The 26,713-nt window shown below is 40.9% G+C and overlaps 1 long non-coding RNA gene across 1 annotated transcript in view; it reads left to right on the top strand.

The window, feature by feature from the left end:
* Positions 1–26,713, top strand: part of PROX1-AS1 (PROX1 antisense RNA 1) — a 166,513-nt gene that overhangs the window by 72,951 nt on the left and 66,849 nt on the right. The window contains exons 3-4 of the long non-coding RNA NR_037850.2: positions 17,685–17,809; positions 18,460–18,540. This is a non-coding gene — a long non-coding RNA (PROX1 antisense RNA 1). The remainder of the gene's footprint in view (positions 1–17,684; positions 17,810–18,459; positions 18,541–26,713) is intronic.

Here is a 26,713-nt window from a genome sequence, read left to right as displayed (position 1 = left end):
CCTCTCCACTTTGGGCCACCACGTGTCTGTCCAAGTGAGTGGCAACCCCAAGGAAGCATCCTGGAATCCTCTTGGGTTGAAGGGCGCAGTACAGATAATGAGGAATTAAGGGGCTTGTAGGTTCTAGAAATGTTCTACTTTGTTTTACAACATGAAAATCTAGCTTTCAATACGGTATTCAGGTCTGGGGATTGGGAACCATGATCCCTCTACTTGTTCCTCATCTTTCCCCTCTTCCTTGAGAAACCCTCTCCTCTGCTTTTCTTTTCTTTTCTTTTGCTTCTGGCCAGAGAAAGCATCCACTAAACAAAACGGCATGCTATTTAAAAGTAATATCTATATACATTTTAAAGAAAGTAATTTTTACATCTGCACTGGAGAGAGATTAGAAATCTCTGGCAAGCAAGAAGAAAAAACAAAACCTTGAGTAATCTTACTACCTAGAGCTGCCCAAATCACTGCTGAAGATGTAATGGTGTCTATCCTTCCAGAATTTGCTCTACATATATATATTAACAAAGTGTTTGAATGAAGACTCTGGATTCCGGTTGCTGAGTTTGAATTCTGGCTTCGCCACTTACTAGCTGGGTGACCTGGGTCATAATGCTTAACCTCTCTGTGCCTCAGCTTCCTCACAGCTCTGCAGAGTTCACAGAAAGACTTAGAGCATGGCGCTGCTGTGAAAATGAGATACTATACCATGCGTTTACAACAGTGCCTGCTGCATAGTAAGCAAGAATTTATTTAATTAACAAATATTTCTTGATTCCCTATTTTATGCCAGGCACTTTTCAAGATAGCATTTAACATCCAGAAGATCCACTGCTGGCATGCAGCTTTTATTTTGGTTTAACAACTAAACACATGAACTATTTTTGTTACTACAAAACTCATTGTATTATATATTGTGTGGAACCTGCTTTACTCATTTACAACATCTTGCTATGTATTATGACATTTTTTCTGTGTCATGAAACCTTACGTTATTACTACAAATGGTGAGATAGTATTTCATTGAATGAGTATTGTACTTTATTTAATAACCTACTTTTGCTACACATTTAGGTAGTCTCCAATTTTTCAGTGTTTTAAAGACTAGTCTGATGAAAATCCTTATACACACATCTTTGTCCATTTACCTGGGTATTCCACCCAGACATGACTTTAGAAGTGGAATTGCAGATTAGAGGAAATGCACACGGCTAGGGCTTTTGGTAGAAATGGTCTCCTGTGAAGGTTATGCACCAAACTGCAATCCCACTCACTTTGTAAGAGATCTGAACTCCCATCTGAACCAATAAGCAACTATTTCATTATTTCTAATTTTCTAAAATTAGGGCAAAAATGGTATCATATCATTTTTTATTTGCTTTCCTTTAACTTTCAGTGAGTCTGGATTTAAAATATCTATACATTTCATTGGCTATTTGTGTTTCTTATTTTCTGAGTTGACTATTCATATCCTTTGAAGCTTCAGTCCTGACTTTGATAAGATGATCTTGGATATTGCTTGAGATTGAATAGCCTTTCTCTGTGAAAGACCTAGACCTGGGTTAAACTTTGTGAGATAATGGTTTCAAGGGACATGTGCCCAACCTTCTCTGCTATGTATTTGCATTTTCCACTAAAAACGTCTAACATGTTATAAATTTGACTTTTCTGCACTTCGGCAGTGACACGGTTAAAATACTAATGAAAACTTTTTGTACGACATCCCAGTGGGAGCAGTGGCCACTTTTGCACAGGTTGAAAGATGTTAAACGCTATCTAGTATGTGTAATGGATATGTGATTTGCTGCATGCCTGTATTTCCTGTATGGTAGATGTTGGCATAGCTGAGGGCACATGTCCATATCTTGAGTTGAGGTCAGGAAACAGTGTATATATTTTTGAGTCTCTGTGAAATTACACAAGTTCTTCTGTATTTCAGAGTGCTGAATCTATCTCCCAAGGGACAGTTAGTTCAAAATTTGCTTCTTTGAGGAAGACTACCTTGGTTGCCCCCCGATCCTTAGATTATTTTCCTAACTCTGAACTTCCTAAGCACATGTATTTCACATCTAAATTTGCTAATGCATTGCTAAACATGTCCTCAATGTAACTTGTGCATATAGTTTTTCTCACAAGACAGGAAACGTATTTCTTCTTCCTTTGCCTATGAACTTCTTTAAGTTGGATTTGGGGCTTTAACACATCCCCTCAAACAGACTCAACCCATAAAGTATTAACGAATGATGCAGAGCTGACTATGATTTCATGGGGAGATGGAGGAGAAAGCTACATGAGACCACATGTACCAAGACCACAAAGACCAGGATTTTCACCTTCTCTCCTCAAGGTCCTCTTTAGCCATGGACCTCTGGGTCTCTTTCTGCTTCTCTTTCTCTCTGAACTCTTCCCCAAATATTCACTGAATACCTCCTTCTTTCTGTTACAAAGAAATTCAGTTCTCTTCTGAATTTTCCAGTTAAAGGCACCAGCTGATACTAATGCCCAGTAAAGCCAGCATCTTTTTCAACAAAAGTGAATTTCTTTCTATTGGGGAAGGTACTGCGAAGAGAAGGAAGGTCTCCTCCAAGTCGTTCTGCCAAGTTATTTCACAAGGATTGGTTTTGTCCCTTCAACCAGTTTGATGACAAGGACCCTGACTTGCATTTGTTTTATGTCTCATCTCAGCTGCCTTTTCTTCCCTTGCTTCCTCCCGGGCTGAGCACAAAGCAGGTTCTCAATAGACACTGGCCAGCCGGTCAGGATTCTCCTGTCTATTTCCATCACTTTTGCATGGCAGTTCGTTCTTAGGAGACCCATGAATCCGTGGACAAACAAATGATGGAGCCTTAGTATACATCTATGTTTTAAGACCACATGTGTTTTCATTTCCTCCTTTAAAGGCCCCTGATTGTAGGAACCATCCAGCAAGCATAACACCTCTGCCTGTGTCTTAATCAGATGCATCCTGCACCTCCTGGGCTGAAACTCATGCCCCTGCCCACTGTCTTGCGACAGGCTGTATGGAAGAACTCAGAGAGTCCTTGCCTGCTTCTGCTGTGTCCATATTCCAGTCCCTTCCTGATAATTCGCTAGCCTTCTGGACCCTAGGGTCTTGTTCCATAAACCCGTGGTGCTCACCCTGAGGCTGTGCCAGGCCCTACTTCCAGCCTGTCTGGCTCTGTGGGTTATACCTGTTCCCAAGCCTTGCCTGCCTCTTGCCTATCCAGTGCTCTTCCCTCTCCAGGCATCCAATCCTTACCTCTTCTGCCCAGACCTGCCCTGCTGAGGCCCCTGCCTGGCAGGACATGGCGCCTCTGATGACCAAAAATAGAAGTTGTATAAAAGAACGGTGGGACCCAAATAAAGTTTGAAGCAGGAAATATAATGATCCTCCAAAAATATGATTCTGGTGCTTCCACAGGAGCCCTGTCCCTGCTTCAAAGCATGTGAACTATCTTTATTTTGCATTCAAACTATCTTTTGGGGCCAGGTTTCCTTCATAACAGCTTATTGCAAAACGGATCTGAAACCCTAGGGAGTTTATCTGTAGTTAGGTTTCTTTTTCTTTCCAGTAACTGTGGGTCGGAGGTATTCCAGCCATTATTAACTAAAGGACTACTCTGTTTTATGACATCTAATCAGGTGGATGTCCCACTGGGAGGACAGATTGTGCTCTTTTTTTTCCCTCTGGACTGAGGAGATAAAGAGATAAAACTCATACGTTGTTTTATTTTTTTAAAAAATCAACAGCCTATCCCCCTGTGAGATCTTCACGTGAGCCTGTTATGCATGGGAGCCTGGTTTTAGTGGGGGAGACCTAAGGGCTTGTGGCTATGGTGTTTTGTCCTCTGAATGGCTGGGCTTGCTCTGGTCTACAAAAGTTTCTATTCAGGATCATCTTGGATCCTGGTGGCTTGGACGAAAATGGCAAACTCTTAATATGTCTATAGACCTGGGCTGTCCCCGGATGTCTCCACTTGGCTGAGAAACCAAGTTCACCCTCAGTTTGGAGATGGAAAAGGTCCCAGTGCTACAAATACTGAGAAAATACCCTCTCAGAGCTTCCATTTCCAGCTACATACAGTGCGCCTAATAATGTCTGACTTGAGAATTTCCCAGGGACCTGATGAGCTCCCAGGCAAGGGTAGATGGGAAACACCCAGCTCTATTCAAAGGCAAAGTGTTGATGGGGACTTGGTTATGATGCAACTCAAGCACCCTAGCTTCCCTATAACTAGAGTTATAGTAACTCTAGTATCCCCACCTTTATGAAAACCCTTCTTGAAGCTACTGTGCATGTGCTTTCACACCTGCTGCCTCTCTGCCAGTGTATCGAAGTAGGATTCCCTTTTATTTGTACTGAAACTTCTTCAAATCAGGAGATGTCCCCTGGGCTCAGGGCTTTGGAAACAAATCAGGAGGTGTCCCCTGGGCTCAGGGCTTTGGGATTTGTGAACAGATCTGTTTTCACTCTGTCTGTACTTTTCATGATTGCGTAAGTTTCCCTCATCTTCCATCAGGGTTTGCGTATGCACTGTGAGTAGGTTTTAGTCCTTCAGGCTGTGCACACACAAAGGTCCCTCCAAGGGATGATGATCATTTTAGAGTCTTTCCAACTCTATGATCATTTTAGAGTCTATCTGAATCGCTGTCAGACCTTTGGCATTTCCACATGTGCATCAGCAACTGTCTTGTATTCCATAAGTGTAGGTTCTCAGAGGACAGGAAACACCTTCTTGGTAATGTCTTAGCCCAGGGCCTGCCACAAAGCTATGGTTTGAAAGACATTTAGAAAATGAATTTTTGTGAACTTATGGCTAAGGACTTTTAGGCAAATCAGTCAGTTTCCCTGGCTCTGGCTTATCAAGTCTCAGCACTCAAGAAGCCTGTAGGAAGAGACCCCAGTGCTACCCAGGTTTTTGGTAGAGAGTAGGAGATAGATTTCGAAGTGAGATTTGAGAGTCTTAAAAGGGAACCCTACCTACAAGCACCTTTTCTACAAGGCCACAAACTTGTTTTATTCAAGACGTATCTCTTGTTTGAATGTAGGGACCATTGGGTTTAGTGGATAAACACATAGGCTCTGTGGCTGGGCTGCCTGGTTTTAATCTTGGCTCTGCCATTTGCTACATATTGACTTCACCTCTGTGCCTTATTTTTCCTGCCTGTAAAATGGGGATAATAATAGTTCCTACCTAAAAGGTTATTATGAGGATGAAATGAATTAATATTTTTTTTTTTTGAGACGGAGTCTTGCTCTGTCGCCCAGGCTGGAGTACAGTGGTGCACTGCAACCTCCACCTCCCAGGTTCAAGCAGAAATGAATTAATATTTCTAAAGTGTTAGGAGATGACTGGAAGAGAGTCAGTGCTGAATAAACAAACAAACAAATGTTCCCAGGAGGGGCATAGGTAGGATTAACACAGGAAAATACCAATATGTGAATAAATGTCTCCTCCCACCTCATGCAGGAGACAGCAAATAACAGGAGCTCTGGGTAGCACAAAGCAGTCAAGAACAGCCTTCCAGCCTGAGGGTGGAATTTACCTTTTCAGAAATAAGTGATAAAAATAGCAAAAATTATTATCATATATGGAACATCTACCCTAGGCTGGACCCTGAAGTAAGGATCCTTTGTTACCTAGTTCAGTCCTTACAGCAATCTTAAAAGAAAGGTGCTGTTTTCTTCCTATGGATGAGAACGCAGAGAGGAGAGTTGCGGAGACTCTTAACTTGCCCAACACTGTTGGGTCAACAAGGAAGAGCACCAGGAGTCAAAACCTGCGCTCTTCATCAACAGATCCTCTATGATTTCATCTATGTATCCATCAGGGCAACTTCTGATCTTGATTTCATTTCTCCAGTGAGTGTCCTCACTAGGATGCTGAAGTTTCTATTATCAGTTAGTCACTTAGCTTCTGGAAAGAGCACTGAATGAGGTGGCAGAAGACCCACCTTCTGGTCTAGCTGACACTTACCCCACCAGCTTGGACAAGCTCTTACCTCTGTGGGGCTACGGAACAGGAACTACTAATGCCTGCCCTGGCCATCTCAGTCGATGTGGTGAGGCTCAAATGATATCATTCAATTTAAATTCATCAAAGGAGTGTTCACTGTAGACTCAATACTATGCAAGCTGTGTTTACATGTATCTTTCATTGTAAAACTACTTAGGAAACACTTTAAAATGCCAGATACTTTTCCTATGAGATTGGCAATGTGAACTAGTCTTTCTTAGGGCCTGATTGCTCCTAGGCAAGCTAAATATTAAGGCCTCAGAGCTGGGAGACCAAACCCTGTATTTCAGAGAGTGAGCCTCACTCTTGAGGCTTCCCTGGCTTTCAGCCTGCCTCTTCCAACTATTACATGAGTAACAGGTATGTTTAGAGCTGCTTCAGAATGAAGATGTCAGCAAAGATGGAGGAATCCATCGGAAGCCCCACCATGAGGATCTCTGCCAAGTTGGGGTCTTCATGGAGCACAGGGACTTCTATCCCTGCGCCCATCCACTCGGGCAATTTTCAACAAGTATTTGTGATGTTGGGAAGTTGGGTTGGCTGTGTCCTTCGCTGAGAAGAAAGATATCAAGACAGAAAAGAAGGATCTGAAAGGTAAGGGGCTGATAAACAATAAATCCAGGATTCATATTCAGATAGGATGCACAAAGGTAGCAGCACTGGTTGGTCCCAGCCAGTATCTGTTCTGATTTGTTAGTGCCCATGTGGGAGGCTTATTGAAAATACTGACACTCACCTTGGATAAAGCTTGGCTGTTTTTTGGGCCTGTGGAAGGTCTCCCTGATTCTGTGCTCTGTCAGGTGCCAACTCTTTTCCCACCTGTCTCCTAGGAATATAGTAGTTGCACAGTAAATAACGTGGTCTCGGGGTTGGGATCCTCTGCAGGACACACTCGCGCCAACACACAGTAGCTACAGTGTCCATTCCCCTGACATCCAGAAGGACGGGAAGGTTTGCTTTCATTCCCCAAACTCTGAGAATATGACCAGATCTTTAATTCTTCAGCGACCACCCTGTGCTGATGCTCAGAAGGTGCTCAGTAAGTATCCAGTGAATGAATGACTGCATTTATCAGAAAGCATCCAGGCAGCACCAGTTTAGATGAGGTGCTGGGTTACTCAACCTACAGAATCAATGAGGAAGACTAAGTCACAGCTCTCAGGGAATTCCCAGCTTACGGTGAACAATCCCTATGTGACCAGTGTAAAGGACACACAGATACCCGCATGTTATTTGTTTAAACATTTAACTTTAAACTAAAATGAAAGGTTATTGTGGAGTGAAATGAAAGAACCAAGGGATCTTGAGCATGAATAAAGAGTTTTTTTGGAAGTAAAGGCCCGGGAGAGGCAAATTCCTTTGGAAACAGCCCAACATGTGGCATTTCTCATCCCTTCCTTTTTCAAAGGCTGGTTTTGTTGGGTTTTTAACTGAGAGCCTCAGGATGGAGGAGAAGCTATCTTCTCAGCACAGAGTTTTCTCCCCCTTTTCCAAAGGGAAGGCAGATTTGGGAAACTGGCACTGCCCCTGCCCAGATGGCAGCCAGCAGCTGGCTCTGGCAAGGGGAAGTTCTCACTCTCGGCTGCTGGCTGCCCGGCCCCTCCCGTTTCCCCAGCAATGCCGGCCGGGCCATTGGAAAGGAGAGCGTGTGAGAGCCTGGCCATGCCAGCAGTGCGTCGCCACCCTGACCCGGCTGCTCTGGCTCTGGCACCCAGGCCTGCAGCAGGGAGCAGGACACACGGGCCCAGCAACTCCAGCCAGCAGCTCCAGCCCTGCTTCCTGCCTCAGCTGCTGGCTTGGCCGTGTGCTCAACTGCACAATGGCTTCTGACATCCCCGGGGCTGCAGCGGGAGGGACAAAGGGTAGTGGGGATCTCAGGGAGAGTGGGCTGGCCACACAAGCATAGGCAGATTTGGGGAACGGGCCCCCAGATGATCAGGCTGGCCCATGGCTGCCACCTTCCCACGCCAGACACCTCTCTGCCTTTCAAGTCACCCTATGTGTCCTCATTTTCTCTATCCAAGGCGCATTTTATTTCCCTCCTTCTTCCCTCCCTCACCTCTCCCCTCCCTCCCTCCCTTCCTTCCTTTCTTCCTTCCTCCTTCCTTCCTTCTTGTCCTTCCTTCCTCCCTTGTCATTCCTTCCTCTCCCCTTCCCTACCTTTCTCCCTTCCTCCCTCCCTGCTTTTCATTTTTCCCTTCTTTCTACCTTTCCTTTTTCCCTCTCTTCCTACCTTTCCTACTTTTTTTTCTTTCTCTCCTCTCACGATGTCTTTCCCCTACATTTTTGCTTTCCTCCTCCTTCTTTCTTTTATTCTTCAAACATTTATGGCTGCACATTATGTATCAGATCTTCAATAGGTTCTGGGAGAACAAATATCATAATGCTTGGCCCTGCCACCGAGGAGCTCACAACCCATTGAGGACATCTGCGCATTGGGATGAGTCTATGACAATTAATGACAATAGATTGTGTTAAGTACAGCACTGTAAAAGTACACAAATGACTAATAATGCAGAAGAAAGAGCCATTAATTTCCACCTGACCCATTTTGGGGAAATGGAGCTGAGGAGCTGCCGTTTTTAAAATTTAGTTGTTCATTCTTTCTTCTCATGCTTCTGAGGAAAAGGTTTAATGTTTCTAGGTCTGGTTGGAAATAATGAAAGGTTTGCTTTTGTTTCAGCTCTTGCTTATGACCCAGGTCCTGAAGTTTGAGTAGGTAGTTATGCCATCTGGGAATGGGGCCTGCTCTGAGTTTCTGAGTGGCTTTAAACTCAGATACCTCAGTAAATATTTGTAACAAAAAGAGTCTTGCTGTATAACTTTTTTACATGATGGTCTTTGGCTGGGTTGTTTGTATTGAAATAAGTATTGGGGCTTTTAGTGAAATATGTTTGCTTTCTTCAATGATAATTAATGTTTGCTCCGAAATATAGTGAGCCCTCCATATCAGTGGGTTCTACATCTGTGGATTCAACCATTTTGCAGGTCAAAAATATTCAGGAAAAAATATACGATTGGTGTCTGTACTGTACATCATTGTATTAGGCATTGTAAGTAGGCACAAGAGGATGTACATAGGTTGTATGCAAACACCACACCATTTTATATCAGAGACTTGAGTATCCTTGAATTTTGATATTTGTAGGGGATGCTGGAACCAGTACTCCACAGACACTGGGGAATGACTATAATCTTTGTGTATCTTTCTCTTTCCTCAGTTGGAAAATCATACTAAGAAAAAAAAATATATCACCACTTAATTACTCCCAGCATTTTTTAGCATATGCAGGGTGGCTATGGTGGTTTGCAGGACCAATTGAGTTTCCCAACGTCGCTGGTACCCAGGGGATGCAGGCTGTAACTCTTGTCATAGTACTACATCTTGAAACACAGGTGTCCTGTCCTGGAGCTTTAGGAAGTAGTGCAGATGCTTCGTTGTCATTAGCATCACCCCTGGTAACATAATTATTATGTACAGTTAAAGGCGAAGGGTAATATTTAAGAACATCAAATAATGCTTTTCACAGTTGGAGGCAAGCAGAGTAGTCTGGAAAAGGTTGCTTGACCACTCTGTGTGTGTGAGTTAATGAGGAGGTCAGGAATCCAATGTCATCTGAGGCAGTTAGTGACATAGCAGAACATGACTGCAGACTGCACCCCAATTTGGGCTAGTTTTCTTGCAAAGGAAATGAAGTTTGTCCATATGAAATGTAAATACAATGTATTATTATGATCACTTATGTGAAAACCTATACACAAATGATAATCCCAGCTTTTATCATAACAGCCTCTGTTTTTGTTTTGTTGTGGTTTGTTTTGGTTTTGGGTTGTGTTGTCTTAATTTTTTTCAAATTTTAAAACAATACAATTCACTTTTTTGGGGAGTGTACAGATCTGAGGGTTTTGACAAATGCACAGCTGTGGATCTACTACACGGCCATGATAAAGCACGGCTCCATCACCATCCCCAGGCCCCTGCCCAGCCCCAGCTCCTGCCTTCCACATTTCCTGGGTCATACTTTGATATTCAGTCCCCTTCCTTACTCCCAAGGCCTGGCAAGTACTGATCTGTTCTTTGGATCTTTTCTAGAGTGCTATGGAGATGGAATTATACAACACCTAGCCTTTTAGACCTGGTTTCTTTCACTTGGCAGGTGTGTTGAGGTTCATCCTTTTGCTGTTGTATGCATCAGGAGTTTGCTCCTGTTTATTGCTGGGTGGTGTAGGTGTGTGTGCAGTTTATTTATCCATTCTTGGACTCACCAAAGGACTTTTGGTTTGGGGCTGTTATGAGAAAAACTGAGATTAACATTTGTAGGTTTTTACATAAAACCAAGTTTTTATTTCTCTTAGGTAAATATCTAGGAGTGAGATTACTGGGTCATGTAATACATGTGTTTTTAACTTTATGAGAATCTGCCAAAATGTGCCATTTTGTGTTTCTGCCAGCAATATGTGAGCATTCCAGTTGCTCCTCATGCTGGTACTTGGTATGGTTTAATAAATAAATAAAAAATTAGCCATTCAAGTAGGTCTGTAGTGGCATTGCATTGTGTTTTAATTTGTAATTTCTTAAGAACTAATGATTTTGAACCTTTTTTATGTGCTTATTTACTGTCTATACATCTTCTATTGTAAAGTGTCTATTCAAATCTTTTGCCCATTTCTTTGAATTGGGGACTTTGTTTTCTAATTATTGCTTTTTAAAAGCGTTTTTTATTTGTTTATTTTTTGTTTTTTGTTTTTTTGTTTTGAGATGTCATCTTGCTCTGTTGCCCAGGCTGGAGTGCAGTGGCGTGATCTCAGCTCACCACAACCTCTGCCTCCTGGGTTCAAGCGATTCTCCTGCTTCAGCCTCCCGAGTAGCTGGGACTACAGATGTGCACCACCCATGCCCAGCTAAATTTTGTATTTTTAGTAGAGACGGGGTTTCACTATGTTGGCCAGGCTGGTCTCAAACTGCTGACCTTGTGATCCACCCCCCTCAGCCTCCCAAAGTGCTAGGATTACAGGCATGAGCCACCACACCTAGCCTAAAAGTGATATATATATATATATATGTATCATCTATCTATATATATATGTATCTATATATATATATATGTATCATATATATATATATGATAGATACAAGTCCTTTTTAAGATACAAGATTTGCAAATGTCTTCTTCCAATCCGTGATTTGCTTCACCATTCTCCTAATAGTGTCTTTTGCAGAACAAAGATAAAAAAGTAAATTAGATAAAGCTCCATGTATCCATTTTTTTTCCTTTTGTGGATAGTACTTTTGATGTTGTATCAAATGACTTTTTGCCTAACTTAATGTTACAAAGATTTTCTCCTAGAAATTTTGTAATTTACATTTACATTTAAGTATATGATCCATTGTTAGTAAATGTTTGTAGATAGTATGTGTTACAATTCTTTCTTTTCTTTGTTTCTTTTTTCTTTTGGCATATTGACATTCAATTGTTCCACTACCATTTGTTGAAAAAGCCTATCCCTTCTCTATTAAATTGCCTTTGCACTTTTGCCAAAATATAAACAATTATATTTGTGTGGGTTTATTGCTGGATTCTTTGAGAGGGATATTTCTATGTCTAACATCTTATTTCACATAGTCTCTGTCTTTCAAAATAAGTGCTTTCCTACTGGATAAATGGCACCCTATGTATGAACTAGAGTACTTTAGTACTTGACTAGGCAGAAGAGAAGCAGCTTTGGCAAACCTAGATTAGAATTATTTTTGCCATTGATGTTGCAGTGTGACTTTTGTGTTTAGGACTTTTTGATCCTGCAGAAATGCAGGTGAGGCTCAAGAAAAAGTGTCATAAAGATTAATGAGGGCCATGGCTGGAAGAGGACCTGGGATTTACGTCATCAGCACCCAGATATTGGTATGATTTCTTCTGGCTCACTTTACAGTGAAAATATTTGGGAGCGGGAGAGCAGTGGTGAAGATACCTATGAGAATAAACGTGTTGTTAGATTATCAGCACTTTAAGAGGTCTGTCTTCTTTCATAAAAATGCAGCTCTTCCCATTGCCCCTACAGTAAATAGGCAGTAAGCAGGTCTCAGTATCTCTTGTTTACTTTCTGCTGCATCAGGTCAAATACACAAATTACACAGGAAATGTACTTAATGCCTGAGTCCCCATGACATTTCTTTGGCTCTCCTTTACCAATAGAATTATTCTTTTACAATTTTGGAATGAAAAGCATGCAAAATAGTGTCTTCATATTGCTTCAATGCTTTCCACCCATGCCACTCATTTCTAATTTTTCATGGCCTTAAACTACCATCTGCTAGAAGGGTGGGAAGGACACTCACAAGATCATTGTGTCCTGCCCTCCAGCCTCAGGCCTGGCTGCACTGGGGCCACGCAAGTCAGAAGCGTTTTTATCTTACTCTGAAAGGTTTTCAGAGCTTAGTTCCCATCTTTGGAGGTTGTATCTTTTGGGTGGGCCCAGATCTTTCTCCCAGGAATGCATTCTCTATTGATGGACGAGGGTCCTGCATTCATACCAAAAACTTGGAGGTTTGACCATGGTAATAATTTTGTGTCTCATTGGGTACAGTGTTTACTGCTTGGATGATGGGTGCACCAAAATCTTGGATATCACCACTAAATAATTTATCCATGTAACCAAGCACCACCTGTTCCCCCAAAACTCATTGAAATTTTAAAAAAGGTTAATTCCAAGGGGAGAGAGAAGAGTAGATGAAGAGATTTGTTAAAGAATAAAACATTATAGCAAGACAGGAGGGATAAGTTCTGGTGTGCTATAGCACTGTAGGATGATTATGGTTAACAATAATACAGTTTCAAATAGCTAGAATAGTATCAAATGTTCCCAACACAGAGAAATGACAAATGTTTGAGGTCATGGATATGCTAATTACCCTGATCTGATCACTTATAGTTTATATGTACCAAAACATTACTATGTACTCCATGAACATGTACAATTCTTATTTGTCAGCTTAAAAAATAAAATGAAAAGAATGTTGTTAAAAAATAAAAGTCTAAGGAAGTAAAAAAGAAATAATAATTTTTTGTCTTTGGCCAACTTTGCTTTTTTTCCTTTATAAATCATTCAAATATCTGAAGTCCAAATACTAATACTAAGGACAGTTTGTGATTAACCTTTCTCTGCTCCAAGAAGTAGCCAGCATCAGGGATTCTTCCTTCTAAAATAGCTTAACCAGTTTTTAATACACCAGAAAGACTTTTGCTCACAGCCTTCTGGTCATTTATTTTCCTTAATAGCCTTTTATGAGGGACCTTATCAAAAGCTTGCAAGGAAATCCAAGTAAATTATGTTCCTTGGTTCACCTTTACCTACTATTTCATTAACTTTTTCAAAAACAATATGACATAGTTTTCAACATAATTAAAGGGGTTGGGAAAAAGGGAACTTTAACTACCGCTTGACAGTTGCTGTGGTTGCTTAGGAGAGCTGGGTCACTGTTCATATTCTGCCTCCGCTTAAGGACACTAATTCATTTCTCAGGCTGTCTGGTGAGGTCAGCCACTAGTTCAAGGTGGAAATGACAAGTTTTTAGGCTTTCAAGTGTGCAGCACTCAGCTCTCCAGAGAGCACGAAGGAAGGAAACCGCAAGTTTATCCAGGTCTGACCCAGAGGAAGAGGAAATGATGGGAAGAACCAAGACAAGGGCAGAGGGAGGTGTCTCTTTGGAGGGGGAGTTACTCTGAAAGAGTCTCAGACACTCTCAAGTAACTCTTTTTATTATATTTTTTTATGAGAAAAGGAGGGACTGATAACAGAACTTGGGAAAACGTTTAGTGTTCTACTGTGGGTATGCAAGGCCAGAATGCGGGGGTGAGCAGAGGCTGGCTAGAACAACAAGGAAAGGGTTAGGAACTCAAATAAGCTCACACAGCTAGTAGTAGCAGTATTAAAAAATCATCATCATCATCATAACAATAGCAGCTGTATTTGTTGAGTGCCTCCTTTGTGCAAGTATGTGCTAAGCATGGGCACATGCCCATCTCATTGAAGCTTAATAACCAGGGATGGGAGATATCATTATCCTCATTTATAAATGAGAAAAATAAGGCACAGAGAGTTTAAAGGACCTGGTGAAGTTCACACAATTAATAAATTATCAGGTTTGGGATGCGATCTTCTCTTTTGAATTCTGAAGTACATGGATTTTCATGGTGCTAGTTAGTCAATTCTTAGCACATTCCATAGCAATACTGGCCCATAAGTCAAATATTTAAGTAGATGTTCTAAACATTCTAAATATTAATTACCAGTTTTCATAAGTATTATTACGCAATGGTTTTTAAAAATGCAGATCGTATTTAATTTATATTAATGACGCACCAAGGCATTTCAGGCTTGCAATTCTTAAAACATCTTTATGAATCTCCATTTCACTGGCTTGAGAAATTGGAAGTGCTTGTTTACAAAAGACTCTGGCTGACAAAATGCTAGTAAAATTGGCTTTTAATGCAGAAAGGAACTAGTAAGGAAAAGCAGGAAAGCTTCCATTTCTTTCTGGCTTCCTTCTTGGTTTCCACTGGCTCAATGCCTATTTTTCCTTATGTCCTAAGAAAGGGGCCATTTTTAGTCTTTTCCATGACTTCGGAAAGCCCACCATAATTGTCCTGCTACATGCTTCATGCTCCATAGGATGTGATGCCCGAATGTTGGAAAGCATTTGTTTTTAAAGTATCTTTTAAAGACTTGCATCCTCTCCCCAGGTGCTCCTGCAAGCTGCTAAGTTCCAAGTGACCATGACACCTTACCTTCTGGTCTGTCCATGGCTCTGGTGAAACACTCAGTATCTAAAGGGAGCACGTAAGCACCTGAAGGCACCTCTGCCAGGCTACATGGCCCAGCTAGCAGGCTCCCAGCTCCTGATTTGTCCAGACAATGACCATTCAGACCAGAAGCCTGAGAAGCTGAGGAACTAGAAAAGCAACTTGAACTTTTTGTCAATGAATGAATGTACTAATTGGAAAAAATGCAAATATCGCAGACTGAGAGAAAAAGAAATCTCCTTCAGGGAAGGAGGTGGAAGTACCCTCATGGTGGTGGGGGCAGGGGACCTTGGGTTTGCTTGTTACCTCCAAGTCCTTACTGGTCTCTGCAAGGTCTCTGAGTCTTGCTGCAGGATGGGTTTGGCCTGTTGCCTGGGTCCCTGGGCTGGCGTCGCAGAGGAGTGGCTCCTTTATTGTGTCTTTTAGAGTTTGCCCTTAGTCCTACCCATGGTCCTGGCCATTTGCATCTGGAGGTAGAGTCCTTACACTCTGTAGCCAACTTGTTCTAATCCCAGGCTTCCACATGTCCTCCTGCCTCTCAGTACCATTGTATCATGCCACAGGAGTATTTGCGAGCTTCTGGTTCCATGTGTACCAAGTACAGACAGACCTTGGGAAGCCAGAAACTCTATTTCATGGCACCTAGGCAACTACCTGAGCCAGGTGAACTTACCTGGCCATAGTACCGTATTACTGATTGTTGGATAATTCACAGTGGGTCCCTTGAAACCTGTCAGTGTTTCCATCTTGTCTCATTTGTTAAATGGGAAATATTTTACTTGCATTAAATCCCTCATAAGTAATTTTAAAGTAGGTTGAACCTGTGTTTTTAATATAAAAATGTTATTTTTGAAGCATCTAGTTGGTGACTGAGAAAAGAAAGATAAGAAAGATAATCTTTTCTCAGTTTATTCAGTCATCAATGAGGAGTCAAGTAAATGAATGACATATTGTAATACAACATAGATAGCCATAAAAATCACCAATCCCATTTCCTATCCCAGAGCACACAGGAAGACTTCGTTTTCTCCTTTTGCAGTTTTGTTGAGGCCATGTGACAGGGTTCCAGTCAAAAAAATTAGGACAGAGGGATATAAGCCACTTCTAGTCATGTCCCTTAAAAGCATCTTAAAGAATATTTCAGTTTTTGCTTCCTCTTCCACAATCAGCTAAGAGGCCATTGGTTTAAGACTCTAGCCTTAGAATATGGAAGGAGTTTGGGTTCCTGAGTCACTGCTTGGAAGAGAGCCTCCAAGGAGAACTTCTAGACTTGTATTGGATAGCTACCTAAGGAAGAAATAAAACTGTGTGTGAAATCACCGAGATTGCTGTTACAGCAACTGGTATTTATTGCTGTAATCTAGAAATTGGTACCAGAAGTGGGATATTGACATAATCAAACCATATTCCTTAACCTTTACATGATCCTAAGTATTTATCATTGGTTTAGTAATACAGAATCTGGCAGGAAGGAAACTAATACCAGAAAATGGAAAGATGGTAATTAATGTTATATAGTGATAAATCCAACTATTGCCTGCTATTAGTTAGAAGTTAGTCCATGTGCCTGGTATATATCTTTAGGGGAAATGGTTAGCAAACAAAATTTTAATAGTGGTATTGGCTAATGTTGGAATATCTCTTTCATGTATTACAAGAAAGTTACAAGAAAGAGATGACTCAGGAAATAATTATTGAGTTTGCAAGCAGAAATAGAGTGGAATACAGAATCAAGAAATTTGGACTCATAGGGTTGGAAAAAATAAATTTCTTTTAGACTCAAACAGTAAAATAGGGCACCAAAAATGACTTTAAGTGATAAATATCTAGCAAAAGTTCTCATCTGAATGAGGTCATTTGAGGTGAAAATCAGATAAGTCGAGTGGTCTTCTCACCTATTGTTTCTTATAGCCTCAATGTAATTTGGTAATTATGTTGGGAAAAAAAAGGCATGGAGGTGAAGAAACAAAGAAAAAAAGGTAAATTTGATAATAATGTTTAGAAAGTAACTCTAGGTATAATTACTGGCACTTGGGACTGACTAGAAGCAAATAGATCTACATCATCTAAGATTTTGATAATTGTATTACGATGAAACCAGGAGCCTGGACTTAAAAGGCCTTTGCTTGGTCCAGGCTTAAAACAACTTTTGAGTTCCCAACACATTGCAGACCAAGCAAATGTCAGGCTTCTAGAACTGTACTGCTCCGGAGGAAAATGTGTTCACCTGAGCCTACTTCACATGTGGCTAAGGAGAAGAGCAAATACAGGAGTCCTTCTCAGAGTCAAGTCCACACATCTCCACCCCACCCAGAATATCTGAGCTTCACCATGTTGGCACAGAAAGGTTTCAGCATTGCCAAGGACCATGATGTGTCTCGTCTCTTATTTCCCATTTCAAATAGGGTTATTTATTGCAGTTTTCCTGTCATTTTTTCCACCATTATACATGGTTTATGATGGTGGAGATGTGGAATATGGATAACTAATCTTTTACATATGTAGGTAACTGCACTGAGAGGTGCCATGTCAGACTGATGAATACGAAAGATGGTGCCTCACCCAGATATCCTGGACATTGATCTGGAGGTGGTGACTAAATGGGACTTAGGGTGTACCCCTTGGCATGGGGTGAGTGTGTTCTGTGAGAGGAAGAGTGAAATGAACATTTGGTGTTCAGAAGGGCAACCTATGGCAAGAGACTTTCAGTATTCACCATTTTTGAGTCTCTCCTTGGGCACGTAGGAAGGTTACATCTTCCAGGTGACCCTGCAGTTAGATGGGCCAATGGAATGTGAGAAGAAGCAATGACTGTCACTTGTAGAACAAGCGTTTTAAACTTGGTGTGTCTTCTCTGTATTTTCTCCCATCTGAACAGCTGGAGGCAAAGGATGCCAAGATGGGAAAGCCACATAATGGAAGGATCCTGGATTTCAGAGCTGTCACTTGGAGGAGGGGCACCCAGTGAAGGTGTCTTATCTAACCCACACCATATCTTCATGAGTAAGAAATAGCCTTGTATCGAAGTATAATACTTTGGAAGTTGTATTTGATAGTGGCCTGCATTGATTTCCATGACTAATATACTGTTCTAACTAAAGTCTGGTTCTAAAAACTGGGAAAGCTCTTTCTCTTGGAAGAAGTGAAATTGTCCCCCTACCCCATCATCACCATCACCATCATCATCATCACATTTGGTTCAAAAAAACTTTTTGAGTTTCTATAATGTGTCATGCACCATGGCAGATCTTAGAATGAAAAAAGGAATAAGACACTATTCCTGGCCTTGTCCATAATCTGGAGAGAAACTTTTCTAAACAAGTAATGAAATAATTATTTCCTAAGTGTGACACCATTAACGTATGACACAACTAGCTGTTTGGAAGCTGGGGCTGGGCAGTGATAGGTAAAGGCCTTGCAGAGGAGGTAACATATGTATCAGCTTTTAAAGGATGAAGAGGGATTTTCTAGGCAAACAGGGCAAATGGAAGGCTTCCTAAGTAAAGGAAGAAGTGTGTGCAAAGGCATATAGGTATGAAAATCAGGAAAGTGAAATTGATTTCTACAATTGGAGATAAAAAACATATTTATTACTCTCATAATTATTATCAACTTCATCATCCCATCAACATTATTTATTAATTTCCATGCAGAGTGGCCATATGGATTTGATCCCTATCCTTCAGAGGTGCTCAGCCTAAGGGAACACGGATAGTAGATTAAGCACTGACCAGGTGAGTTAAGCTCTATAATTTACTGGCTGTAATATAAGCCAAATCACTTGACTTGTCTTTATTTCATTAGTACTGTTGTACTGAAGAGATAACTCATATTTATTATTTCTGATCCATAGAATTGTTGTACAAATTCAGTAAGTAAAACATGTGAAACCTGGTTTGAAAAAAAAATAACATAATGTATATGTTTATGCTGTTATGGTAATGAAGGAGGGTTAGGGCAGTAGGACAAGAGTCATAGAAACTTGCGTGCTATCACACGAAAAGGACATGCTGTACTTCTTTCTGGTGGTAGTTTACTGGTATCCTCAAACAAATCATACCTGTGGGCTGGGGTACACCTGGTGAGCGAACGATTCTCGGGGGCTAGGGGCATGCTGATGTAGTGAAGCCCATGGGGAAGGCTGGGCCAGGTGGGATGTTTACTCAGTGTGCCTGAAGGTGGTATAGCCAGAGCAGGGGTCAGGATCAGAGATTAAGAGGAAAACATTCTCGTCAGAGAGTGGCTTGTTTTTGGCAGGGTTGAGGGGGGAGTGAGTGAGTAAAGCTGTAAAAGGTAAATAAATCCTAGCTCTGAAGCCAAAAAGATAAACAAGTCAGGATATAAAACATAAGTAAGATAGGACAAGTGGTTCAGAACTAAGGCTTCGAAGAGTCAAATCACTGAAGGGCTAACTTTCATTGTGTTCCCTTCTTCATGGCCTGGGTGTATGACAGGTGTATCACATTTTTACATGTGAGTGGTCTAGGCTGTGACAAAGAGATATAGACCTCAGTCCTTTTTTTTTTTTTTTTTTTTTTTGAGACAAAGTCTCACTCTGTCACCTAAGCTGGAGTGCGGTGGTGTGATCTTGGCTCACTGTAACCTCTACCTCCCAGGCTCAAGTGATTCTCATGCCTCAGCTTCCCTAGTAGCTGGGATTACAGGCATGTGCCACTATGCCTGGCTAATTTTTGTATTTTTAGTAGAGTCGGGGTTTCACTGTGTTGGCCAGGCTGGTCTCTAACTCCTATCCTCAGGTGATCTGACCACCTTGGCCTCCCAAAATGCTGGGATTACAGGTATAAGCCACTGCACCCAGCCTTAGTCCTTAAACTGAACATTATTGTCCTGGTCTTGAGACTTGAGAGCTCCAGGTGAAATAAAGATTTGGAATTTCCTGCCATCTTCCTTCCTCTCCATTTCTAGGTATTTGACACATTTCAAAGCTTCATCATAGCAGTGACTCTTGATCTATCAGTGGCACCTAAGGAGACCATGAAGTAGGCATGGGAATGTCATTGGCCCCCAGTAATTGGAAATAAGTCCCTAAAATATCCCATTTTGTCACAGCGATCCATCATGGAGCTGTTATCCATGCATCTCCTAAAACCTGCTTAAGCCTATTTAGATGGTCATAATATATAACCTTGCAAGGACACAAGGCCCTCATAGTCAACTGCTTTGTAAAATAGTACTTTCACATCTTTGAGATCCTAAATCTACCTCATTAAAGAGTGAATGCTCCTAGTATTTTGAGATCTGATAAACCGTTTCATTTTTATCTATTGAGATCTTAAAGATTCTGACTGAGGTGTAGAGCGTTATCTTTGTAACCTAACTAAGCCTATACGACATTACTTAACTGAAAGTTACTGGTGATGCATCTGAGAAGCTCAGACTCAACAAAACTCAGCCTAGAAACTTGGATGACATTGCAGCCCGTCCAAACCATCAGTAAATCCTTGGAGCTTTAGCTTTCTGCTCTTCCCCTCCCCCACATTTACAGTGCCCTCTCTTTTGGGAGAAGGATGGTGGAATTACTTTGGATTGGAATTAATGGTATAAAGAGCTACCTTCTCATCTGAGTAATGCTGATTCATCTCCATCTCTGGTCATTTGCTACCTATCAGAAATATCCTGACAGCCTGCATCTCATTACCATTGCAGCAGGGCCAGCTCCCAAGAATAACCTTCTAAGGAGGATGAAATGTACGCCCGTGGCTTCTAATACCAGGGCACTCACATTCATATTTTTAGCAGCATATATCAGAGTTAGCCCAACCTTTAGTGTACTGTATGTACTTTTAATAATCTCCATAAAAGCCTGATTTCCAATCCCTAGGCTCAAGCTGACAGTGTAAATAAAATCACCCAAATCCACAGGGTAAGAGAAATGAAAATGACATGGATTAAAATTTGGTCAAACCTCTTTCTTTTTAAAAATTCTGCTTCCCTTCCAATTGGATCACGACCCTCTGTGTGCTCAGCTTAAGACCAGACGGTATGCTTTCACTTTTATTCCTCTCTGCAGCAGGCTTACAGTATTTAGTGAGAGTCTGTAAAGAATGTGTGCTGGGTAGAGAGTTAATACCATAATCCCCCATCGTTGGGGTCAAATGCTGAATAGAGCAAAAGAATTAGAAAACATGTTACATACAATGGCAGGAAAAAATGCATCAGCACGCTGTTCTGTGAACACTAGCATTCATCACCCACAAGTAATGGCCATGAGGTAATAGAGTATATAAAGAGATGTGTACTTGAAGTGTAATATGTGCACAGATGCAGGAATGGAAGACTTAAGCAGAAGTCTAAATACCCATATACTCTGGGAAGTATTTGTCACTATGTTCAATTGCTTCTTTTTAAGTACCTGCTTGGATTTAGTTCCTAAGTAACACATTTAGCCACTAAATTGTTTCACAGAGTGGAACCTTGAGCTATCTCTTTTCACTCTTCAGCAATGGGTGTGAATATAGTTCTCAAAGTGCTGTAATACATCTGTCTCTGGAGAATTCTCTTAATGAACAAGTAGAAATTTGAGGCACCTCAGGAAAAAGAGTTGAACAGCCACCTTCTATTCTGTCTCGGGAAAGTCAACTAAACACCCCTGGAGTAAGATTACTAGCAAATAAATAACTTTGTATGGAATTTCTACAAGAAGGAATGAGTGTGTGTGTGCGCGTAGATGATTTGATCATAAAATGACAAGTTGGATTTATTTTAAATAAGATCCTTTTGTCTTAGTCCATTTTGCTATTGCTATAACAGAATACCACAGACTGGGTAATTTATACACAACAGAAGTTTATTTGGCTCATGGTTCTAGAGGCTGGGAAGTTTAACATTGAGGGGCTGCATCTGGTAAGGGCCTCCTTGCTGTGTTATCCCATGGGAGAAGATGAAAGAGCACAAGACGGTGCAAGAGGGAAAAAAAGAGAGCTGAATTTGCTCTTATAGAAAACCTGCTCTGGAGATAACAACATTAATGTATTCAAGAGAGGAGAGTAGAGCCCTCACACCCTAATCACCTCTTAAAGGTCCCGCCTCTCAGCACTGTTGCATTTGGGATTGTGTTTCAAACACATGAACTTTGGGGGACACATTCAAACCATAGCATCCTTTGAAGTAGTAACTATTAGAGATTGATATTTTAAGATTTTTATTTATTTTTAAATTTACATATAGTAAAATCTACTCTTTGAGGTTTAGAGTTTTATAGTTTTGACAAATGTATAGAATCATGTAAGCATCACTGTTATTAAGCTACAGAACACTTTTATCATTCTCAACAGTCCTTTGTGCTGTTGCTTTGTAGTTAAAATTTCCACCCCTCACCCCTGAAAGTCACTGATCTGTTCTTTGTTTCTATAAGTTTTGTCTTTTCCACAATGTCACATAAATGAAATCATGTGGTATTTGCCTTTTAGGTCTGTCTTCTTTCACTTAGCAAATGCATTTAAGATTAATCCATGTTGTAGTATCGATGGTTTGTTCATTTCTCTTATAGAGTAGCATTTTATCTTTGTAAATTTCAACGGCATTTCAAGACTAAATGACTGAAAGCTAATGGCCCTAAGAATAAAACTATTAGGAAAATTATTAATTAGGGTTTTAGAGCTTTCTGTGAGGGATTATCTTTTGTTTACTTACATAAGACACCAGGATATGTGAAAATACAAGTGAGGTTGGATTCTAACCGGGAAGTATAAGACATGCTATGAGTAATTTAGCATGTTAGCTCTTTCTCACAGGGCATATTGACTAAATTACTAAAGACATATTATTTCAAGTAAATAAGTTATTGGTGCTCAAAACATAAATATTAATATGACCTTAATTGTATACGTTATCTTTACATTTCTATTAGTCCACAGTCAGCCTCCCACTCTTCTCTGCTGGCTACTCCTCTTCTACCTGACCCATAAATGCTAATATTCCTTTTCTCACACTACACCTGTTTTCATGGAGAAATCATTTATACCCATAAATAGATAGGGATGGCCAGTCTACATCTCCAGCCCAGGTTTCCCTCATGAGTTACAGACACATACAACCCAAATATACACCATTCCAAACAGAGCTCAATATCTACCAAACCAAATGGTTCCCCCTTCGTAGGATTTTCCATACATTTCTCTTAGCTCTTATCTCACTTCCTGTTTCCTCCACCAGACTAAAGGCAATGAACATGTGTCTTTCCCCCTAGTGCCTGTTATATAGCAGGAATTTGTAAATATTTGTGGAAAGAATGAGTGCATATGATACTCATGCACATATAAATAGGGATTTATTTCTACTCCAAACTCCAATGTTTATAAATGGTTTTTATATGAACGAGTAACTAGGACACACATTTATTTCTGCCCCAACCACCAACCACCATACCTGCACAAAATCTAGAGGTCAATGTCTGTTTTATACAGCAGAGAAAATTATTAGCATATTTCACTTTTCTTCCTATTACATTTTCTCACTGAAGTCATATTTTTTATTCAATCTTATACTTTTTCATGTCTTACGAAGTTCCCAAGTATTATTTTCACTGGTTGAATAATATTGCCTCTAAAAGGAGTCCTTCTTGTTTTACACTGAAAGTTCAGTTTGAAGCATCATGAAGACCTCATGATAGAACTAACTCCTATTCAACAGTCTACACTCTGTACCATTGGTTCTCAAAGGGTGGTCCCTGAAGCAGCAGCATCAGCAGCCTCTAGGGACTTGTTAGAAATGCAGATTTTGGGGCACCACCCCACATTTTCTGAAACAGAAACTCTAGTGTGAGATCCAACAATCTGTGTTTTAACAAGCTCTTTGGGTGATTTCAGTGCTTGCAAAAGTGTATGCAACTATTGTCATACACTTCCTAGTGATGGTCCGCTTGTCATATAGTATCTTCCTGAATTAATTCTCACTCTTTTTATTCACTCAGGTCCCTCATCAGTCATAAATCACACTCATATTGAAAACAAGGCTGTGTATTTGACAATTAGTTTATAGAGTAAGGCCTGAGGTCTTGTTGTACATAAAACGTTAAGTATGGCAACGGTGTTTTTTTAAAACTTAGTTTTAGTAACAGAAAATTCCTTCAAATGTAATATTATGCAAAAGCCATGTGTGTGTTTGTGTGCATGCATGTGTGTGTAAGTGTGTGTGTGTATGTGTGTATATGTGTGTGTCAGATGAAAGGGAATTACCATGGTTGACTGTTAAGAAAGCAGTCTGCCTATTTGACTGGGCTTCCTCCTGGCTGTCCGCTTCTCCACAATACCTCCAGGCAACAGTTTGAAAACCTCTGAGTCAGTGGAAAGGGAACTAAATATGGATCTGGGGATCTTGGCTCTAGCCTGTTTCTTTGGACAATTCATTTAGCATTTCTGGGCCATACTTTCCTGATCTGAAAATGATAAGTTACCTTTAAAATTTCTCAACTGGTTGGAAGTTTATTTTTTTCTTCTGTATTTTTAGCTTCTGACAGAAAGGAATATGGGCTGTCTTGAACATTCTCCCTTCCTTGGAGACATAGGAAAGAGCTGTTGGCTTTGCCATTTGCTAGTCCTCTGACTTCTTCTTCAGTATTGACTTAGAGGCATTAATGAATAAACAGGGCCAGGCTGCCACCATTTTGAGTGCCAATAAAGAGAAGGAAAGCTTCCATGAGAGTCACATAAACATTTAACAGATTTTCAACCCCGGCACTTGACTGGGAATGTGGGCTGATGATGTGAGAAATTGAGAGAATAGCAAAACACAGTTGCATTGGACTTCTATGCCACCTCCTCCCACCTTCTCTCTCCCCTCTCCCCTCTTCTCCCCTTCACCCTTACTCCTCCTCTTTCTCCAAGAGCTTGCAAGGTGCTGGCCTAGAGTCACCCTTCCCATAGTACATTATCTAACTCTCTATGTTTCCTTGATACTCCCAAGGCCAAAATCTAAAATGGGTAACATAAATTTTGGTTTACTTTGACATTCCCTCCCACAACTCATTGGGTTGTGGAATTCCATCTTACTCTTTCTTGCTCCCTCCTGCTCCCCCATTTTCCCTTTCGGTTCCCCTGACCTTCCCTGAGGCCTCTTCTAAGGGACAACTCTAAGCCAGCTGGCCTTCTCTGAGTTAAAGGGAAGATGAGCCCAGGTGGGAACTGTGCTGTCCCACTCTCATGCAACAGTAGGGTTTACTGGCATGTGTCTTGGGGGAGCAGGGGGTGGAGCAATGGGGGACCTGAGGGAGCAAAGTGTTCTTATCTTATCTTCTTGTAGCTTTGCTCTGCATAAACTCTCCTCTGAAGCCATCTGGAAAGAAGGCCCTTCTGGCCTCTGCTCAGCTAGTGGCCAGGGGCTGATTCTCAGGGGTTCTGAATGCTCCGTCAGTCATTCCCTGGCAGAGATTTTGATAGAAATACAAGATATACTTTAATTAAATGTGTACTCCCAAAATGGCCTGGTAGGGAAAGCATACTGATAAATATCTGTGCTATTGCTTACATTTGACAACAGACTGTACTATTTGTGCACATACAATTACTTTTTAAATGGGGATTTAAAAAATGGAATCTAGATATATGTTTTTCTATTTTCTTTTATTTTATGGAAAGCTAAAGACAAGACTGCTTGGTCTGGATAGCTGTCAGCCCCTCTATGTCCCTTCCCTCTTTCTCCTGCATTTGTAGCTTCCCCGACACTTTGGTCTTCTTTCCTGCAGCTTGTAAATCGGTGCAAGTTTCACCTGTCCTTTTACTCTCACGTTCCTCTTTCTTTCCTGCTCTGCTTCTCTTTCTCTCTTGACCGTCAAACTCACAGAGACCAGAGTTAAAACAAAGGATCTGTGATGGTGCCCCACTTTCTTCCTCCAATCACCCATAAATCCTCTGGCTTCCACTGCCCTCTCCACACCCCCAACACTATTGAAACTATCCTGCCATTTCACATCCCATGGCAGCTTGTCAGTCATTGTCACATTTGACTTCCCTAAGGGAAATTGACAATTTCCTTTGGAGTCTCTTCCCTCTTTGGGAGCCCACAACCCCTTCTCTTCCATCTTTCCTTGTAGCTCATTAATTTATGCTTCCCAGCCTTTGCTGTTTTTTAAATGAGGGTGCTTCTTGTGGTTCTGTCTTTTGGCCTTGGCTTTTCTATGCTCTTTACTCCTCCTGGGCAAAATGAGCTATGCCCTGGGATTTAGCCATCACCTGTCACTGATAGTTTCCAAACCCAGTTCGTCATTCCAGATCTCCCTCTCGTGGGCTCTACACATAGGTATTTTGGAATGTCTTTACTAATAGGTATCTAAAAATTAGGTTTGTTAACAGATTAAGATATTCATCTTACCTTTAACTCTGTCCCTTTTGCTTGGTAAATAGCATCATTCGGCCACCCAAATGAGAAACAGAGATGCATCCATGTCTTGACTATGCCTAGATCCAATCAACCAAATCCCCCTAATCCTACATTTGACATTTCCCTTTAATGTCTCCACCAAACATGATTTCAACTGCTCCTGTTTCGGTTCAGGTTGTGATCACTTTTCACCTGGGTACATGCTCTCTGGAATCCTGCCTTCAGTCTCCCGCACCTCCAAATTACCTTCAATTCACTCTCCAGATGATATTTCTGGAATAGCATTATCCAGTACAGTAGCCACTAGCTGCCTTCATCTATTTAAGTTTAAATTTATTAAAATTAAATAAAATTTAAAATTCAGTTTCTTAGTTACCCTAGCTACATATTGAGTCCTCAGTAGCCCATGTGGCTAAGTGAATAGTGCAGACAGGGAATATTTCATTCATTCTAGGAACTTCTAATGGATGATGCTGTTCTAGAATATAGTATGTCATATCCCTGATTGCTTTGCTGATGATTCCATGCAGACTCCAGATTAAACTCTAAATTCATCAGCTTGGCATGTAA

This window comes from Homo sapiens, chromosome 1 (assembly GCF_000001405.40).
Source record: "Homo sapiens chromosome 1, GRCh38.p14 Primary Assembly".
NCBI lineage: Eukaryota > Metazoa > Chordata > Mammalia > Primates > Hominidae > Homo > Homo sapiens.
Note: the sequence above shows the minus strand (reverse complement) of the source record. Positions and strands in the feature narration are given on the sequence as shown.